The 16,564-nt window shown below is 34.7% G+C and overlaps 2 protein-coding genes across 14 annotated transcripts in view; one reads left to right on the plus strand and one right to left on the minus strand.

Annotated features, from left to right (window-relative positions):
• DNAJC24 (DnaJ heat shock protein family (Hsp40) member C24) overlaps window positions 1–15,018 on the plus strand; it is a 62,976-nt gene extending 47,958 nt beyond the window's left edge. The window contains exons 4-5 of the mRNA NM_181706.5: window positions 8,470–8,538; window positions 12,454–15,018. Of these exons, the coding sequence (NP_859057.4) occupies window positions 8,470–8,538; window positions 12,454–12,584 (200 nt within the window). The 3' untranslated portion in view covers window positions 12,585–15,018. The remainder of the gene's footprint in view (window positions 1–8,469; window positions 8,539–12,453) is intronic.
• Window positions 14,584–16,564, minus strand: part of IMMP1L (inner mitochondrial membrane peptidase subunit 1) — a 77,222-nt gene continuing 75,241 nt past the window's right edge. For 12 of the 13 annotated variants that reach the window (XM_047426521.1, NM_001304274.2, XM_011519947.3 and 9 more), the window contains 2 exons: window positions 15,643–15,753; window positions 14,584–14,751 (listed from right to left, as the gene is read on the minus strand). In XM_047426521.1, coding sequence (XP_047282477.1) covers window positions 14,683–14,751; window positions 15,643–15,753 — 180 coding nt within the window. In that variant the 3' untranslated portion in view covers window positions 14,584–14,682. Of the gene's footprint in view, window positions 14,752–15,642; window positions 15,754–16,564 lie in introns of those variants that run through there. The other variant, XR_242781.4, reaches the window with a different exon arrangement.

The following is a 16,564-nucleotide window of genomic DNA, read 5'->3' on the forward strand; positions in this document are numbered from 1 at the left end:
TATTGCCCACAGCCATATATTTATCTAAAAGATAATTTAAAGGGACACTTGACGTCCATATTTCTTTGCTTCTCAAAAGAAATGATCATATGTGTTCTTTCCAATAAAGAAAAAGTAATACTCCAGGGCAGATAACCCAAAGTATTGCATGTATGTTTTTTTCTCCTTCATTCCTACTTCTATATGCTTAGTTGACATTTTAGAGCAATGTTGGCCAGGCTGAAGAAAAGTAAATTTAAGAAAAGAATGAGTAATAATTAGTTCCCAGAGATTATACATTTCGAAAGCAATGTTAACTCTGAATTTAATCAATTAGTTCTAGTTGGCATATTAAACTTATTGTTTCTGAGGATGCCTCCAAAGGCTGCTTCCAGTGTTCCCCTGAAAGGCATGTAGTTTTTCAAGATTAGGCTTTGCATTTCAATTTTAAATGGAGATTGACCTACTGTTTAGGTAGCACTTTGGAAAACCCTTTCAGGATTTATAAAATGTTCACATGAATAATACCTGTTGAGTAGATTTTGTTGCCTTTATAAATCTTGTGGGGAGTTGTCCTTATATATTAAGCACATTAAAAACACATCAGAAGTATATCATAGGAAAATAACAGTTGTCATGATTCAATAGCTTTGTAATGTGAAAGTCACAGATCTCTGATGTCTTAGTGGCTCTATACAGTGACACAGCTTATGAGTTAAGTACTTCTCTGTGATCTGAAGAGTAGCAAACCTTGAAATACATTTAATCAGATTAAATAATGTTTAAAAGAATAGATTGTGTTTGGAATCCTTGCTGATACATTATTTTATATTAAGATATATCTTAGCTACTCTGTTAGTGAATTATTTTGGTAAGGTAGAACCTTCACTATACATAATTGGATACCCAAAACAGCGTGGCTCAGAGGAGGTTGGGCCAGATACTGTAAAGTGAGTGTGCCTTTGCTCAAAGCTAATCAGCTACTCTGCTTAGGTAGATACAAGAGGTCATTTCTGGTTTGTATTACACAATTTGCTCCATCCCTTTATTAGGATAAATATTTGGGAAGATAAGCAAATAAATGGAAGCAGATAAATGGAACGAAATATAAGCAAATCTTAAAACAAATGAGGAACATACCTTAAAACCCCACCAACAAGTATCAGATAAATCAACATGTAATTTCTTAAACTCAAAATAAGAATCCTTCCTGAAAAGAATGGTAATGTTATAGAAACTCCATAAGAGGGAAATATGTAGATAATATAAATTTTGGTTAACTGTTAGGAATAATAACTTAAGGCCAGTAGATATTTGTGTAATTATGTCCTAAAGCTGACCCTTACAAAATACTTGAATTAGTGAGATTAGGGTCCATTTATGGTCATAATATTTCCATTTGATTTTAGGAATTTCAAAATTAGTTGTAAAAATTTGCTTCAGGTAAAACTTGGAAGATAAGCATCGGGGGGTATGTTTTTTTTGGTGACCGTTTCTGAGAAAAGTAAGTATGTGAAATGATGCAGAAAATCCATCTTGACAGTTGGGGACTGGCTTTATCTTGAGTGGGAGAAGACAGTATAGATAAAACTTTCTGTGCAGGTTCCCTCGCCCCAACTTACTTGTTGCAAGATGACTACTCACATTACTTGCTACTTTTACTTGAATGCAAATAACTGTGCAATGAAAATGTATTTTAGGATCATTTCTCATTGGTTTTGAGTAAAAATTTGGCTACCTTCAAATAATGCTATAGAGACCTATAGGCAAGATTACAGTTATAATTCTGGGACACTTGAACAGACTTGGTAGTTCTGATTTAATAGTGGAGCAGTCTAAGATTTTAGGAAGTTTTTTTTTTCCAACTTTAACCACTCTCCCAACTTTCCACTTGGTTACTTGACCCAATTGAAATCAGTGGGTCCAAAATCAAGACTGACCGAGTCAGCTTTCTTATTTTTTCCTCAACCTTGGTTTCATATTACACTCTGCTTACTTCTACTTTGCTCCATTTACAGTCAATGAATCAGAAATGCCAGTTGACATTTGTTCTTTTTTAATGTTGTTTCCCCTGTGTGAGCTTTTATTCTCACAACTACCACAGTAGTCCATCCCCAGATTATAAAACATACCCAGATTATTTCCATAGCCACTAATTGGCCTTCCATTCTCTATTGCTGCCTTCTCTCACAGTACTTTACATTTTGATTGATCTAGCAGCTTTCTTTATTCTCATGCCTCTATTTAAGAACATTTATAACTCTATACCCTCCCAAAATAACACCTACCCATTCACCTGGAATTTAAATGGGACAGAAGCTTTTAAGCTTGTCCCTGCTACTTTTTCCGACTTATTACCTATTTCAAACCTAATGTGAATTTTATCCCCTGGCCCATTTAGAGGCTCCCAGACACACGTCTGTTTATACTGCTTGTTATTAATCAGAACCATCCTCCTGTTCTGATTCTTATTCTTTGTTCAAGGTTCAACTTAGGTCCTTCCATCTCCCCTACTCCCAACTTCCCACCACCCACCAGAGCCTTCTGGTATTCTAATCCATCTAATTTGTGCTCTCTGAACTAAAGACACAGAATTGTAGGTCCGTTTTATTGGGACCTACAATAGCAGAGTACTTCAGACTTCAGCACTTATAAATCCAAAGTCAAGAGTTGCTGCCTTCCTACACTGTGGTACTTGAGGTATTTTTCTCCTACTAATAATGGATTGGTTTTTAGTCATTTTCTTATGGTCTGGTATAGATAGCTCAACACAAACAGTGAGAGATAACAGCAGTTTAAAAATAACTGTGATTTTTATTAAGCACTAGAACTGTGGTAGTTCTTTTAAACATTGTTTAACAACCTTGTGAGGAAGATATTAATACCTGTTTTTCAGAGAATATCTGTTTTTCAGGTTTACTAATTTGACTAAGGTCACATAAAGTAGTTGATCGGGGGGGAATTCAAAGCCATTTTTTCTCAATCACTATTTTGTATGAGTTGTGTACAATCTACTATTTGTAGTTCCAGATAGTCACGTACGAGGGATATTTGAGGGTCAGAACAAGATACCAGGCCTACTTCTGCTGCTGTTTTACCTGTTTTATAGTGAAGCAGAAGGAAATCAGTTTGTGGGTTTCATTTGGTACCTTCAGTGAGCACTGGGTTTACCTACAGTTTATAAAAGCTCCACAGTTATTCAAGTTCATAATCAGGTTCCAAGTTTGTAGTTTTTCTTCAGTGTGGAAAGCCTTGTAATAATCACTCTTCAGTTTCATCTGGGAAAGGATTATAGGGTTTATGACTTAAAGAACAGGCTTCCAATTAAATGTTGCCTATTTCTCAATCTCTTATCAAGGTAGAGAATTTTTCAAGAGCAGAGGCATGTTAAAGACAAGGAAACTGATTATGTTCAAGTTACTTCCCACATAAAAAATGTAATTATGTATAGTGAAGTGTTAAGAATGAGGTGATGGTTTAAAATTAAATTACTTGGTTTTAAGAGAGCAAGATACTGAATTAGACCTAAAGGAAAAACTGTTGTTTATTTTTAACTTACACACCAGTGTCTTTAAGTTTGAAATAAACTTTAAACATTTGAAATGACATAAACAAACACAGTGGACTAATTGCTAAATGAGAGCATCGTGGGGATGTGATGATCATGTGAATAACATGGCATTGCCGCACATGAATATTATGGACAGAGCTGCAGGTGGACTTGATCTTTTGGCCAGATGGGGTTGAATGAGACTTCAAAATATCTTGGCCATAATGAATAAAGTTAAATTCTTCTCCCCTGTAGCTTTTTGTTGCTGTTATTTATTTTTTATTTTTACTTTATTTTTTAAATTGTAACTACAGATAGAAAAGGTTTCCTGGGATTAGGATATGTAATTATTTAGGCATGAAACAAAGAGTTGTTTTAGAAATTTTACTATCATTAGGAGGAAGCTTAAAAAGACAGGAATTCCATTGTCTTGTAAGAAGTAAGAAATATTTATTGATTCCCAAATGGAGCTGAAAAAAAACCTTTCCTCTTTTAGAAAGTTGTGAATGACCCAGCGAGAGCTCTAGTAAGCTTTACTGAACCAAGCTGCTAATAGTTATTTAATGTTATTCTTCAGTGTGAAAGAATCTCCGTAGATTTTCCTTTTAATCTCTTTGAATTGCAGGCTCATAAACCTCTCTGATGAGTCCTGCCAGTGTTTTCTTAGATCCCACTGTTGAGACAATGGAGCCACAGAATTCTTTCACCTCTTGTTGTCAGACAAATCCAATAGAACACAAGGTCAGAAGGGCCTATACTTCTAAAGGTTGAAAGATTCTTTTTCAAGTAAGCACATACATTATTTGATTTTAACATTATATTTCTCAAGAACCTCTCTTTATAATGTACTGACTTCTTTATGTAAATAGATTTGGAAGTTTTTCTTGTTTCCATATTTGGCTAAGCTTGTAAGCACAGCACAGGGTATGAACAGACCTTAATGTTCCTAGATACCTCAGAAAAAGTTGAACCCATTTACTTCAAAAGAATCAGGAATCTTTTAGTATCATTGGACTCATTATAAGAGTATACCATATGCCAGACAATGCTTTTTATTTCCGAATGGCCGTATTTTGTTTCAAAATGCTTACTACCATTCTATGTCAAAAATTCCAGATTTAATATCTTGGATCTGTTCATTTAATTAAATCACTCTCTAAATCAGTTTATGTTTTCTCAACCCTTTTAGTAGTGTCATGTTAACAGGGGAACTTTAGGAGATAGGATTTACTTTTCTAGATACCTATTAAAATGTTTTATTACAAGAGAAAAATATGCAATACTACAAAAGAAAACTAACTTATCTGTTTTGAAAATGCCATGCCTGATTAGTAGACAATTATTAAAGCTAATTACAGGGTTCCTGTAAGTTACTTTAGAGGATGGGGAAGAATTAAGTTTTTTAATTATAACCACAATGGTGGACAAGCAGAGATCATTGTTTAAAAAGAAAAAAAAACACATTGATTTGTTTGTGCTCCTTCTTTGTAATTGTAGTGGGGTTTGAGGAGAGGGAATTTGCTGTTGCCCCATCCTTGGACACCTGCCTCTCAACAAAGGATCTTGGTCACCCCCCACTGCCCACATTTAGATTCACCTTTTACTTGTGTGTACCACGTCTGCTCATTATACAGTTCTCCAGGGATCCAATTTTCCCAAGTTAATCACCCCTAGCCTTTTTCAGAAATTGTTAGATTACCATCCTTTCAAAGAATATACACTTTCTTGAATTTCTTCTTTCTCCTTTTATTTGCTTATTTCTATTTAAAAATGTAGCCACTTAAGAGTCTCAACACACTACCTTTAAAACTTTAAAAATTTTAATCCATACAGAGAAGTGCATAAATCTAAGTGTGTAGCTTGATGGATTTTCACAGTAAACACACCCATTTAACCAGAAAGCCTCTGGTTTTGTTTTTGTTTTTTGTTTTCGAGACGGAGTCTCGCTCTGTCACCCAGGCTGGAGTGCAATGGCGGGATCTCGACTCACTGCAACCTCTGCCTCCTGGGTTCAAGCAATTCTCCTGTCTCAGCCTCCCTATTAGCTAGGACTGCAGGCGCACACCACCACACCTGGCTAATTTTTGTATTTTTAGTAGAGATGGGGTTTCACCATATTGGTCAGGCTGGTCTCGAACTCCTGACCTCAGGTGATCCACCCGCCTCGGCCTCCCAGAGTGCTGGGATTACAGGCATAAGCCACAGTGCCTGACCTGGAAAGCCTCTTATGACTTCTTCCAGTTACCACTAACTCCTCATTTCCCCCACCATCATAGGGTAGTTTTGCCAGTTAACATTTTGTGTAACGGGTAATCATACAGTGTGTTATATTTTTTTGTCAGATACTGGTTTTTTGAAACCAGAATCCCTACAGGAACCTGGACTGTTTGTGCCCATGGTACTGAATAATCAGGTCAACATACAGATGTTTAGACAGCCACAGAATATGAAAATGTTTTAATATAATCCTTGTAACTCTGACCTTGGGCAAGGTACTAACCATTTTTGTGTATTCTCTTTTCATATTTACCATGAGATATGGTCTAACTAAGCTAATTTTTCAACCAAGAAATAGGTGGCTACTCTAAAGTTCCTCTGCATAGGGATGAAGAAAAGATAGTAATAAAACTGAAAAAGCCACTTTTTTGAGTAAGTAGAATAATAGAAAGGGTTGCACATGAAATAGTAACTATGTGAGAAGAACAATAGCTTCCCAGTAGATTGGCAGTTGTATTTGCAAGTCAGTTCTAATTTATTATTTTTAAATAAAAAATGGCATCATGGATATATATGAATGGGTTGTCTTTTTGTACAATTAGTATATTACAGGTGTTCAAGATAGATTAGATTAAGAAAGCTGATTCATCTTGTCATTATTTCTCTTGTCTGATTTGCTTTGATTGATTTCAAAATTTCTTAAAATGTCTATAAGATACCCTGGAATACAGGTGACTTTGTTAGAAATTTATTACACCTGTTTTTACCCTAAATAGGATTTGTTAAATGCCAATTATTACCCCCATTCCTCACATCTGAAACAGTGTTTAATCTCCCAATTCTAGCAAACAACCCTGGTCCTTCTGAGTAAGAAATTAAAATGTGATTAAGATTTTTGTCCCCACTCATGAAAATTTTAGAAGAATTTTTTAAAAATAGGAGTATCTGAAGAGCATATAGCCTATTGTACTTTACATAGAATGTGGAAATTAACTTGTTTTGTTCAGAAATTACTTAGCATACAGATAGATTCTGCATAAGCTATCCAGTAGACATACAGAGATGGAGGAACTATCTCTGACCACTAGGCAAAATCCTTATCTTTGGATTTTAGGGACAGTCTAATAGACTACTGGTACCCAGTAAATATGAAGTGGTATAATATCTGACATACTTTAATAGAAAACCATGGTGAGTTCACAATATTGTATAATCTTTTTATCTATTTTAAAATTATGTAACTCACTAATAAATTTTGAACAGGCAGTTACTAAATATAATTAAATTGAGGGCATTCATGTCACAGAACAAAGGGAAGCATTCTCAGCAAGTGAACAAGAGACTAGTGAGACAGCTAAAGAAAATTTTATTGGGGTGGGGAGTGGATTTTAGTAGAGTTTTTTTTTGTTTTTTTCTTTTTTCTTCTTTTTTTTATTCTAGAAGAACAATACAAGCATACAGGAAATATAACCTGCCTTTTAAAACAAAGACAAATGCTTCCCATCTTTGATTGCCATCTTTGACCCAAAGAACACTTGTTTTAAGCAAGAGAGTAGATGCTCCTGTTACAAAGCTTAGGTGGAATTCCAGGCTTCCTTGGACCTTCCATCTGCAGCAAAAACTTTGGACCAGGAAACAGCAATGGAACATCAACACAATACATTTGTGTTGTGGGGTTATTGAAATACTGAAATAAGTATTCTTTTAAGTTACTTAATCTCTTGCAAACAATCAAATGTAAAATGATTAATAGGCTTTTACATTTGGATAGAGCATTATTTTTTAAAGCACTTTTAGTCTGATCTCATTTGATATGGAGAACAGCTTTCTATTAGTCTGCCTCAGCTGCCATAACAAAATACCATAGACTAGGTGGCATAAACAAAATGTATTTCTTACAGTTCTGGAGGCTAACAAGTCCAAGATCAAGGTGCTGGTTGACTCGGTTTCTGATGAGGGCTCTTTTCCTGGCTTGCAGACAGCCTCCTTCTTGCTGTGCCTTCATATGCTCCTTCCTTTATGTGTGGGTGCGTGTGGAAAGAGATCACTCTCTAATCCCTTCCCTTTAAGGCCACCAGTCCTATTGGATTAGAACCCCACTTTTATGACTCCATTTAACGTTAATTACCTCCTAAAAGCCCTATGTCCAAGAACAGTCAAATTATGGGTTAGGGCTTCAACATATTAATTTGAGGGGGACACAATTCGGTCAACAGCAACCCTCCTGAAGCAGATAAGAAGAGATAACTGCTGTTTTAGAGATGAACAAACCAATACACCTAATGTTAGAAAGTTAGTAAAATATTATAACTAAGGTTCAGATAGTTATTTTTATCTAAGTCCACACTGCTTTCTTAGCTAGTTTATCTGACAAAAGACAAACAAACAAACAAAAAACATTTCCCTACTGCTTACAAAATAGAAGTCACTAGTTGACTGCAAAGAATCATCAAAATTAACTTCATGCCTTTCCATGTTGCATGATTGTGAAAAACGGGATTGATTTTGACAAAAAATTTATAAGAAATGTTATGTTCTAGATTTTTCAGTCAGCTAAAGTCAGGTTACTTTAACACTGCTGTCAAAAATACTAGTCTAAGTTTTTAAGTGATAGGTAAGTTAGAATTGTAGTGGCCAGGCTGGCGTTGCCTTTTTAGCATTCTTCAAGGTTACAATTAAAGTATCATGTTTTACAATTAAGTGTCATGTTTTATGTTTTACAGAAGATGATCTAAGAAATGTAGGACCAGTAGATGCTCAAGTATATCTTGAAGAAATGTCTTGGAATGAAGGTTGGATTTTTTTTTTCTCTTGACAACATTTAAAAAAAAAAGGAATTTTCTATAAGAAAAAAAAACTCATTGGATATTTGGAAATCTTAAAAAGAAATAATAGTGTGGCTTTCTATATATATGTGGTAAGTGTTTCTGTCTGGAGTATTTCTGCTTAATTCTAAACTTTATTTATTGACTGATGTCCCCCTATATGACTCATTTCCAGTTATTTTTATATTCTAATTAGATGTTAGGAACATAAAGTTTCATAAGAGTTTTTTTGTTGTGTTTTTTTACTTTAGTTTTTGCATTACTGTCTATGTAGTATTGTAGTATGGTAAATAATGTCAAACAAGATAGTTTTTTTTTTCCGTTCCTTTTAATGTTGACAAGATGAATTCCTATTAGAATTTTTATTTTCCCTTTATATAAAATCATAAACTGTCAGGACAGGGCTTTTAAGAGGCTTGATTTTTTTTTTTTTTTTTTTAACGCTCACATACTGATTGTCTTATAAGAAGAAAAGAATATCTGCCATTTCCCTTGATGCAACATGAAGTCATGTCTTTTTTGCTTTTCTGTTATTAAAATTTTAGAACTTAAATTCAATGTCGTTTCCCTATTCTTCTGATGGTTCCTTGAATTGTTCTGGTTAGACATCATTACATTGGGAAACACACTTTACTAAACAGAAGCCATGAGTACCATACTTACTTGTTTCTCTGGGCAAATGAAGAAAATCTTACTATTTCCTAGAATCTTTATATATGCTTAACCTTTTAACCTTATTGTTCAGCATGAGTACAAATTCCCTCCAGGTTTATAAAAATCTACTAATGAGTGTGGATAGGTAGAAGACAAAAACAGAGCCATCTGAAACCAAATTTACTTTTTAAATGGCAAATTCTTAACTTAGTGCCCCTAAGACGTGGGTCACAAGCCTAACTTAGAAAGGGAATCATGTCTTTGCCTCTGGGGCCATTCTGTCCCCAACCCCTCAAGTGAAATCCTAGAGTAGAAATTCAGTGAATAATTGGAAAAGTTGAGGTTTTGTGTAACTGGGGCTCTTGGTGGTGACAGTCTCATCAGAGTAAACACGAAGAAATACTGTGAAAACAATACACTAGTGATACAGATTTTCACTGCTGGTGTGTGGAAGGGACACTCTAGAATATGTCATTTATCAGGAAGACTTGCCCAGTTAAAAAAAATATATGCACATATGTATATATACACACATATACTTTTTATTTTTTGCCAAATACACAAACTTCAAGGAGACTAAATATGTTTTGAAAATATAGTTTGTCTCCTTATCTATTGGTATGTATATGTATGTTTGTATGTGTTTAATGTCTTAATAAATTAGTTCTTGCTATAGTCGATATGGGTAATATATTTTGTTTATGACTGTGAAAATAGTGAAAACTGGTTTTTATAAATTTTTTTTTACCTTTTAAATATATAACAATATAATGTTAAGATCTTAATTTTAAATGAGAATACGGGCTGGAAGCCTGGAATCCCAGCACTTTGGGAGGCTGAGTTTGGAGAATCGCAGAGGTCAGGAGTTTGAGACCAGCCTGGGCAACATAGGAAGACTGTGAGAACAGATTGTGAGAATAGGAAAAAAAAAAAAAATTTAAAAAAAAAACAAGCATAGCAAGACCACATCTCTACAAGAAAGATTAGAAGTATATTATATATATATTTTTAAAAAGAAAAGGAAGAAACAATATGGCTTAAGCATCTGTCCAGTCAATAAATACATGGACTTTCTGATACAAATGAAAATGCTAACATATGGAAGGAAATATACAACAAAAAATCATCAAGCGTTATCATCAATGTATTATTGCCCCTGGAACTCCCTAAAGTAAATTTGACAGTAAAGAAGATATAGAAGAATCCCATCCATAGCCAATACAGTTAATCTTAAAAGTATAGGATGCCCTTAGACGCTTAGGTTTTCATAACTAAAGATGGAAATAATTCTTATCTTAATGAGAGAAAATACTGAGCAAGAGCTACATGAAACCATTATTCTTGTAGAAATACTTAAAAACGAATCATGGAAGTTTTGAGCTAAATTTTTTTTCCAATTAAAAAGAGCAATTTTGGCAGATGAAATTAAATAAAAAGTGTGATCAACTAGGAAAGGAAAAATTTGTTTGAAGATCCCTTTAGGATCATTTGCAGAATAGCTATGGAAAGTGAAGCTCCAGAACAGGAGAAAAGTTCATGAAACCCTACAGGATAGACATAGCCAAATTGTTGGTTGCCTGATCAAAGGGCAGTATGAAATGATGCATTTTATTATGCTTAAAAGGCATATGTGAGTTGTTCAGATATTGAAGCTAATCTTTGCCCTTACAGTTAGTCTGTTATATGCCTTGGTCATTTTGTTGGCCTTCATTCAGAGTATTTAAAATGATGATTTCTGTAAAAGTTATCACCTGGTTAAAAGATTGATGGTATAATAATATAAGCAGAACTTTTACAAGATGTGAATTTTTAGTGAGCATTAACATTTGGAGTCATCTATGACAAAACTCCACAGTAGCCCATGGTGTCCTCTGTGTCATTTACCAAGAACATGTCAACTCAAATTGTTTTTCAGGGTTCACTGAGGTAGTAGAAAAACAAGGGGGTAGGGGGAGATTTAGCTTAGGAAAATCAATGGTTAGAATATGTATCTTTTTAGACAATTTAATAATAAAAAAATTCATTTTCAGAACATGCTGTAGTACATAGATGTTGGCTTAGACAGGGAAGATGTTTGCATTTGGAATTCAAGATTAAATTATTTTTCTGTATGGAGAGCAAAGGCATTGTGGTAAAGAATAAAAAGCTGGATTAGGTGAATGAATTCATTTTCCTTACTGATTAAAAAAAAAAAAAACACATAAAGTTAGCTTATTTAATTGCCAGTTTTTCCAAGGCTGAACTTGATAAGAGAGCAGGTACAAGGCAGTGGAATTTTTCTTTTTTAAACTACATATGATGCGATCTAAGTATTAATCAAATTTGATAATGGAATGAAGATATTTGTATGAAATCATGAGTCCTTTGAGACTTATTTATGTAATAATCAATTATAATGGTGGTAAAATAATGTGACTGATAAGTTATTTTCCTTTGACAGTTACTTCTCAGAGACAGTAAAATGGAATGACCAATGGATCAGAGATTCTTTAAGTCAAAGGGCACAAGCATTTCAACTTCCCAGGAAAATGACACACTTAAAATTTCCACGATCAGGAGCCTAAGTATTGCACCGTATTGCCTCCTTTGGGCATCTCACTTCAGCATCTTGTTGGTTCATGTATCATTTGTAAACATCAAACACACACACACATACCCCCATAGGATTTAAAAAAACAACAACAACATGGTGTTGTGTTTATAGACTTAAGTCAAGATTCTTGAAATAGTGTGACACTAGAAGAGAAAGTATCCAGATGTTGCATTTGATAAATAGTCTGGCTTTCTCTAAAGGATAGACTTCAGGCAAAAGCATCATCCTCCCTAACAGTGAGACAGGTAGGGCTGTTTTTCTTTTCCTTCACTGTAATATTTTAGACAAATACATTGTTGAAAAGAATGTAAAATTTATATGAATTTTAAGAAAACATAAAACTTCAAATAAGTTTCATGGGTTACTTCTGAGCATGCCCTCTCCTCCCAAAATCCTTGGACTTTTAATTCATAGCTTCAACCCATCTCCTCTACAGAGAAAGATTCTTTGGTAGATAATTTTTAGAAACACTGCCCCTTTCAAGAAATCCAGTTCTCCTTTAAATACATTTTATCTTTACTGAGCTTCTTTGTTTTGTTTTACAATTCCTATGGAATAAACTCTGCACCTTTTAAGGGTATTAGTGAGGTAGTTACTTACAAGTCTTTGAAAGATTATTTTGTTTTCTTTTGCAGGTGATCACTCTTTTTATCTGAGTTGCAGATGTGGTGGAAAATACAGTGTTTCCAAGGATGAAGCGGAAGAAGTTAGCCTGATTTCTTGTGATACATGTTCACTAATTATAGAACTCCTTCATTATAACTAAAATTGTTCACAACTTGAAATGCTTTAACTGTGGTATTGAGACATGATGAGAAGCCGTTGAGCTTTGTCCATTCAAGGAAATGGATTATTTGTCAGCCCGATTATTTGCAAAGAAAATATACAATTATCAAGCAGAGACCACCTCAGATTAATAGAGAATGAATATAATTATTTATTTGTATTTATAATTTATATTTACAAGTTGTCACAAAAATAGATTTGATTATATTTGGTGAATTCCCATCTGAGAACTTTATTATGTCATTTTTTTCCATGACACAAAATAAGAATTTTCTTAATATGAGCATGTCTCCTCTTTTCAGTGGGTAACAGTATCATCATATTCCTTTATAGTTACTAAGTTTCTGGTCTAACCGATAACGTTTCTAGTTGCTAAAGTTATGGGGCTGTTGTACACCTAGAATCTTTGTGAATAATGTGAGGCCAGTTCTTCCATAAGGAAGGCTGGTTATGGATATTCATAAGGTTATTTCAAAGTTAATAAAGACAAAGTGGCAACTGTAGAAAGTGTTGCCTCCAATCTTGGTCCGTATTTCCAAAGCTTGTAAACACTGCCATCTTCAAATTTAAATGTAATTTAGGAAATGGAAGCTTTTAATTTTAATTTCTTTTTTCTAAGACAGAGTCTCACTCTGTCGCGCCAGCTGGAGTGCAGTGCCATGATCTCAGGTCGCTGTAACCTCCGTCTCCTGGGTTCAAGTGATTCTCCAGCCTCAGCCTCCCGAATAGCTGGGATTACACGTGCCCACCACCATGCCCAGCTAATTTTTGTATTTTTAGTAGAGATGGGGTTCCACCATGTTGGCCAGGCTGGTCTCAAACTCCTGACCTCAGGTGATCCACCTGCCTCGACCTCCCAAAGTGCTAGGATTACAGGTTTGAGCCACCGTGCCTGGCCTAAGTTTTGTTAATAGAGATGGGATTTCATCATGTTGGCTAGGCTGGTCTTGAACTCCTGGCCTCAAATGATCCGCCCACCTCAACCTCCCAAAGTGCTGGGATTGCAGGCGTGAGCCACCATGCCTGGCCAGAAGCTTTTTTAAAAATAATGACTTGGAAGTTGGTGCATTATTTCCCCTTTTATTTTGGAGTGTTGATATAATATTGGGGCCAGGCATGGTGGCTCACATCTGTAATCCCAGCACTTTGGGAGACTAAGGCAGGCGGATCACCTTTGGTCAGGAGTTCAAGACCACCCTGGCCAACATGGTGAAACCCCATATCTACTAAAAATAATTTTTTTAAAAATTAGCCAGTCACGTTGGTGTCTGCCTGTGGTCCCAGCTACTCGGGAGGCTGAGGCACAAGAATCACTTGAACCCAGGAGGCAGAGTGAGCCGAGGTTGTGCCACTGCACTGCAGCCTGGGCTACAGAGAGCAAGACTCTGTCTCAAAAAAAATAAAATAAAATAAATAAAAAAAGATATAGTATTAATGCCTGTATTTATGAAGACAGGGCCATTGCACTGCTGCTATGCTGAAATGAACTTTTATAAAGTATTATTGACTATAGCCAACTACAGATGGCATATGCCTTAAAGATGCATTTTTCTATGTATTTAATATTTTGTGTACAGTAAAAGTCAGAACTCATTTAAAGAACTTTAAGGGATCCTTTAGAAACATTTTTACTTAATTTCAAATGAGTGGGCTGAGCATGTAGACTAGCAGCTTTTTATCAAACCTGGCATTGTCAGGTTGAACTTATAAATACGAATAGTTACTACTCTGACTTGTAAATGTAGCTGCTAAAGTATGAGGTATATTTAAGAAGAATAGATTAGTTTCATTATACCTATAAGAACAAGAATTCAAAAGTGAGGTAGTCATCCAGGTTCCCCCTCCCACAATATTTTTGTATCATAAAATTTAGATGACTTTTTTGGGTTACATTTTTATCCATATATTTTGAACTAACAGAACTTGGCAGAATGTGTGTTGAATATTCTTTACATTTAACAATTAAAAACAACTAAAACTGAATAGCAAATAGTTTATTGGTAAGTACACGGTTTCAACGGGAGTAATAAATTCACATGAAAAGGAGACAATAATCAAGTCAAAAGAATAAATGCTTACTAATCATCAGAAAATCTGTGGCCATTAGGGCTGGCACGTAAAAATCCAAAATCACTCAGAGGCCAAATCTGTAAAATCAAAATGAGGTTGAAGACAATTAGTGAAAGTAATGTTATAGTATCATCATATTCCCTTTTGCTATCTGTCCCTTTTCTCTATGCCAGATAAACACTTTCTCCTTACTCATCAATCAAGAATAAAATTTTCTACATCAAAGTAAGACTTGAGAAAATAAACTTATGTGTATATATGTTTAAACTCCAAAGTTTGGGACATTCAAACAATGTACATGAAATTATATGTGTGTGGTGTGTGAATAAATATGTATGAATATATGGTCTGTGTTTTCTTTTACTACTTGCAAGTAAGAGTTAACTGTGTACTTTCAACCAAAGGGGCTTAGGTTTAAGTACTTGAATATGGCATCTGTTTTAAATGTAAAGAATCCTGTAAATTATCCAACAGCTCCATGTATTCATGAATGTTTTTCTCCTCACTGATTGTGATAAAAAGGAGGGGCCAGTGAAAACAATCTTCCCTAATAATCATACATTCACAATAAGTCTGTGACTCACAGTACTCAACTGGGGTATCCCTACTTTACAGGTAGTTTGAATCTAGACTGTTCTTCTGCACATGCTTATTAAAATATGCCCTGGGCAGGATGTGAACATGGTTTTAAGAGTTGTACAAGAGAGAACTGAACTTTTGGAAATTCAAATTAAAGTTTTCTTAGGCTATAGCTAAGGTAGTTTGGATTTTATTATTATCTCTATGGGAGCAGGGGCAATGGGGGAATAGGTTTGCATATGGCTATTAAGTTAAGGCCAACAGGTTCAAAAAATATATTCGGTGCAACAGTTAAGTACACTGACAGCTTGAAGATTTCAGAGATCATTTTGAGAGAAACTTTTTCTAGCTCAGAAAATAAACCTTACATTTTAAGCAGAAAATGGTACCTTAAAGAAGATTCGTCCTCTTATTAGTCCATATGGAATAGGTCCATAGCACCTGGAATCTGTAGAATTCTGTAGATTGTCACCTTCTAACCAAACATGACCCATTGGCACCTAGAATTAGAGAAGAAATGCAGCCTCTTAAAGATAAAACCTAATTTGGGTACTATAATTAAAAAGCATGTCATTCAGAGGTAGGGAGAAATGTCCTAAGGCTCTCTTTTATAGAATAGATACAAATCCTAATATTGCATTTTTGCTTTTATTTCTTGCACAATAACTTTTACTAAATATCAAAGGTTTCAACTTTTTTAAAAACCTATCATCTTTTTTTGTCATATGGTTCCCAAATATTAATTTGTTATACAAACCCCAAACTGAGGTTATAAGAGATCAAAATAGTGTGACAGGGTCATTAATTTAATAGACTTCAAAAGAGGTCATTAGGATGCTGACTGAAAATGCGCCCTTGTGTCTCAATAACAGTATAAGCAGGGCAGCCACTCACTCAGCAACATCCTGGGGCCAATACCAAAGCCAAACCTATTAGAATGCTCATGATGAACTAAATGGTAATTGATTGTGACATCAATTACAAATAATCTCATCATTTTATTGGAGTAGGCTTGTCAGAATTCTAATTAACATCCCTGTTCTGCCTTTGTACAGGCCATATCTTCAATGCATTATACTTCAATAATGACCATGAAGAACCAGAAGGACCTATTATAAAATCATCAGTTGTAAAATTAATGATGGTGACCTTCTCCTAAATGAAAAGACTATCTCCTATAATGTTCTATGTATAAACTGGTAAATAACAAGATTTTTACTCAGTGACAATCATAAGCATATTTAGAACAGAATACATTGTTTTTTTTAAGCCACCTGCAATATGAGACATTTGCCTATTTCTGTTCAATGT

The sequence above is a fragment of the Homo sapiens genome, chromosome 11 (assembly GCF_000001405.40).
Source record: "Homo sapiens chromosome 11, GRCh38.p14 Primary Assembly".
Lineage (NCBI taxonomy): Eukaryota > Metazoa > Chordata > Mammalia > Primates > Hominidae > Homo > Homo sapiens.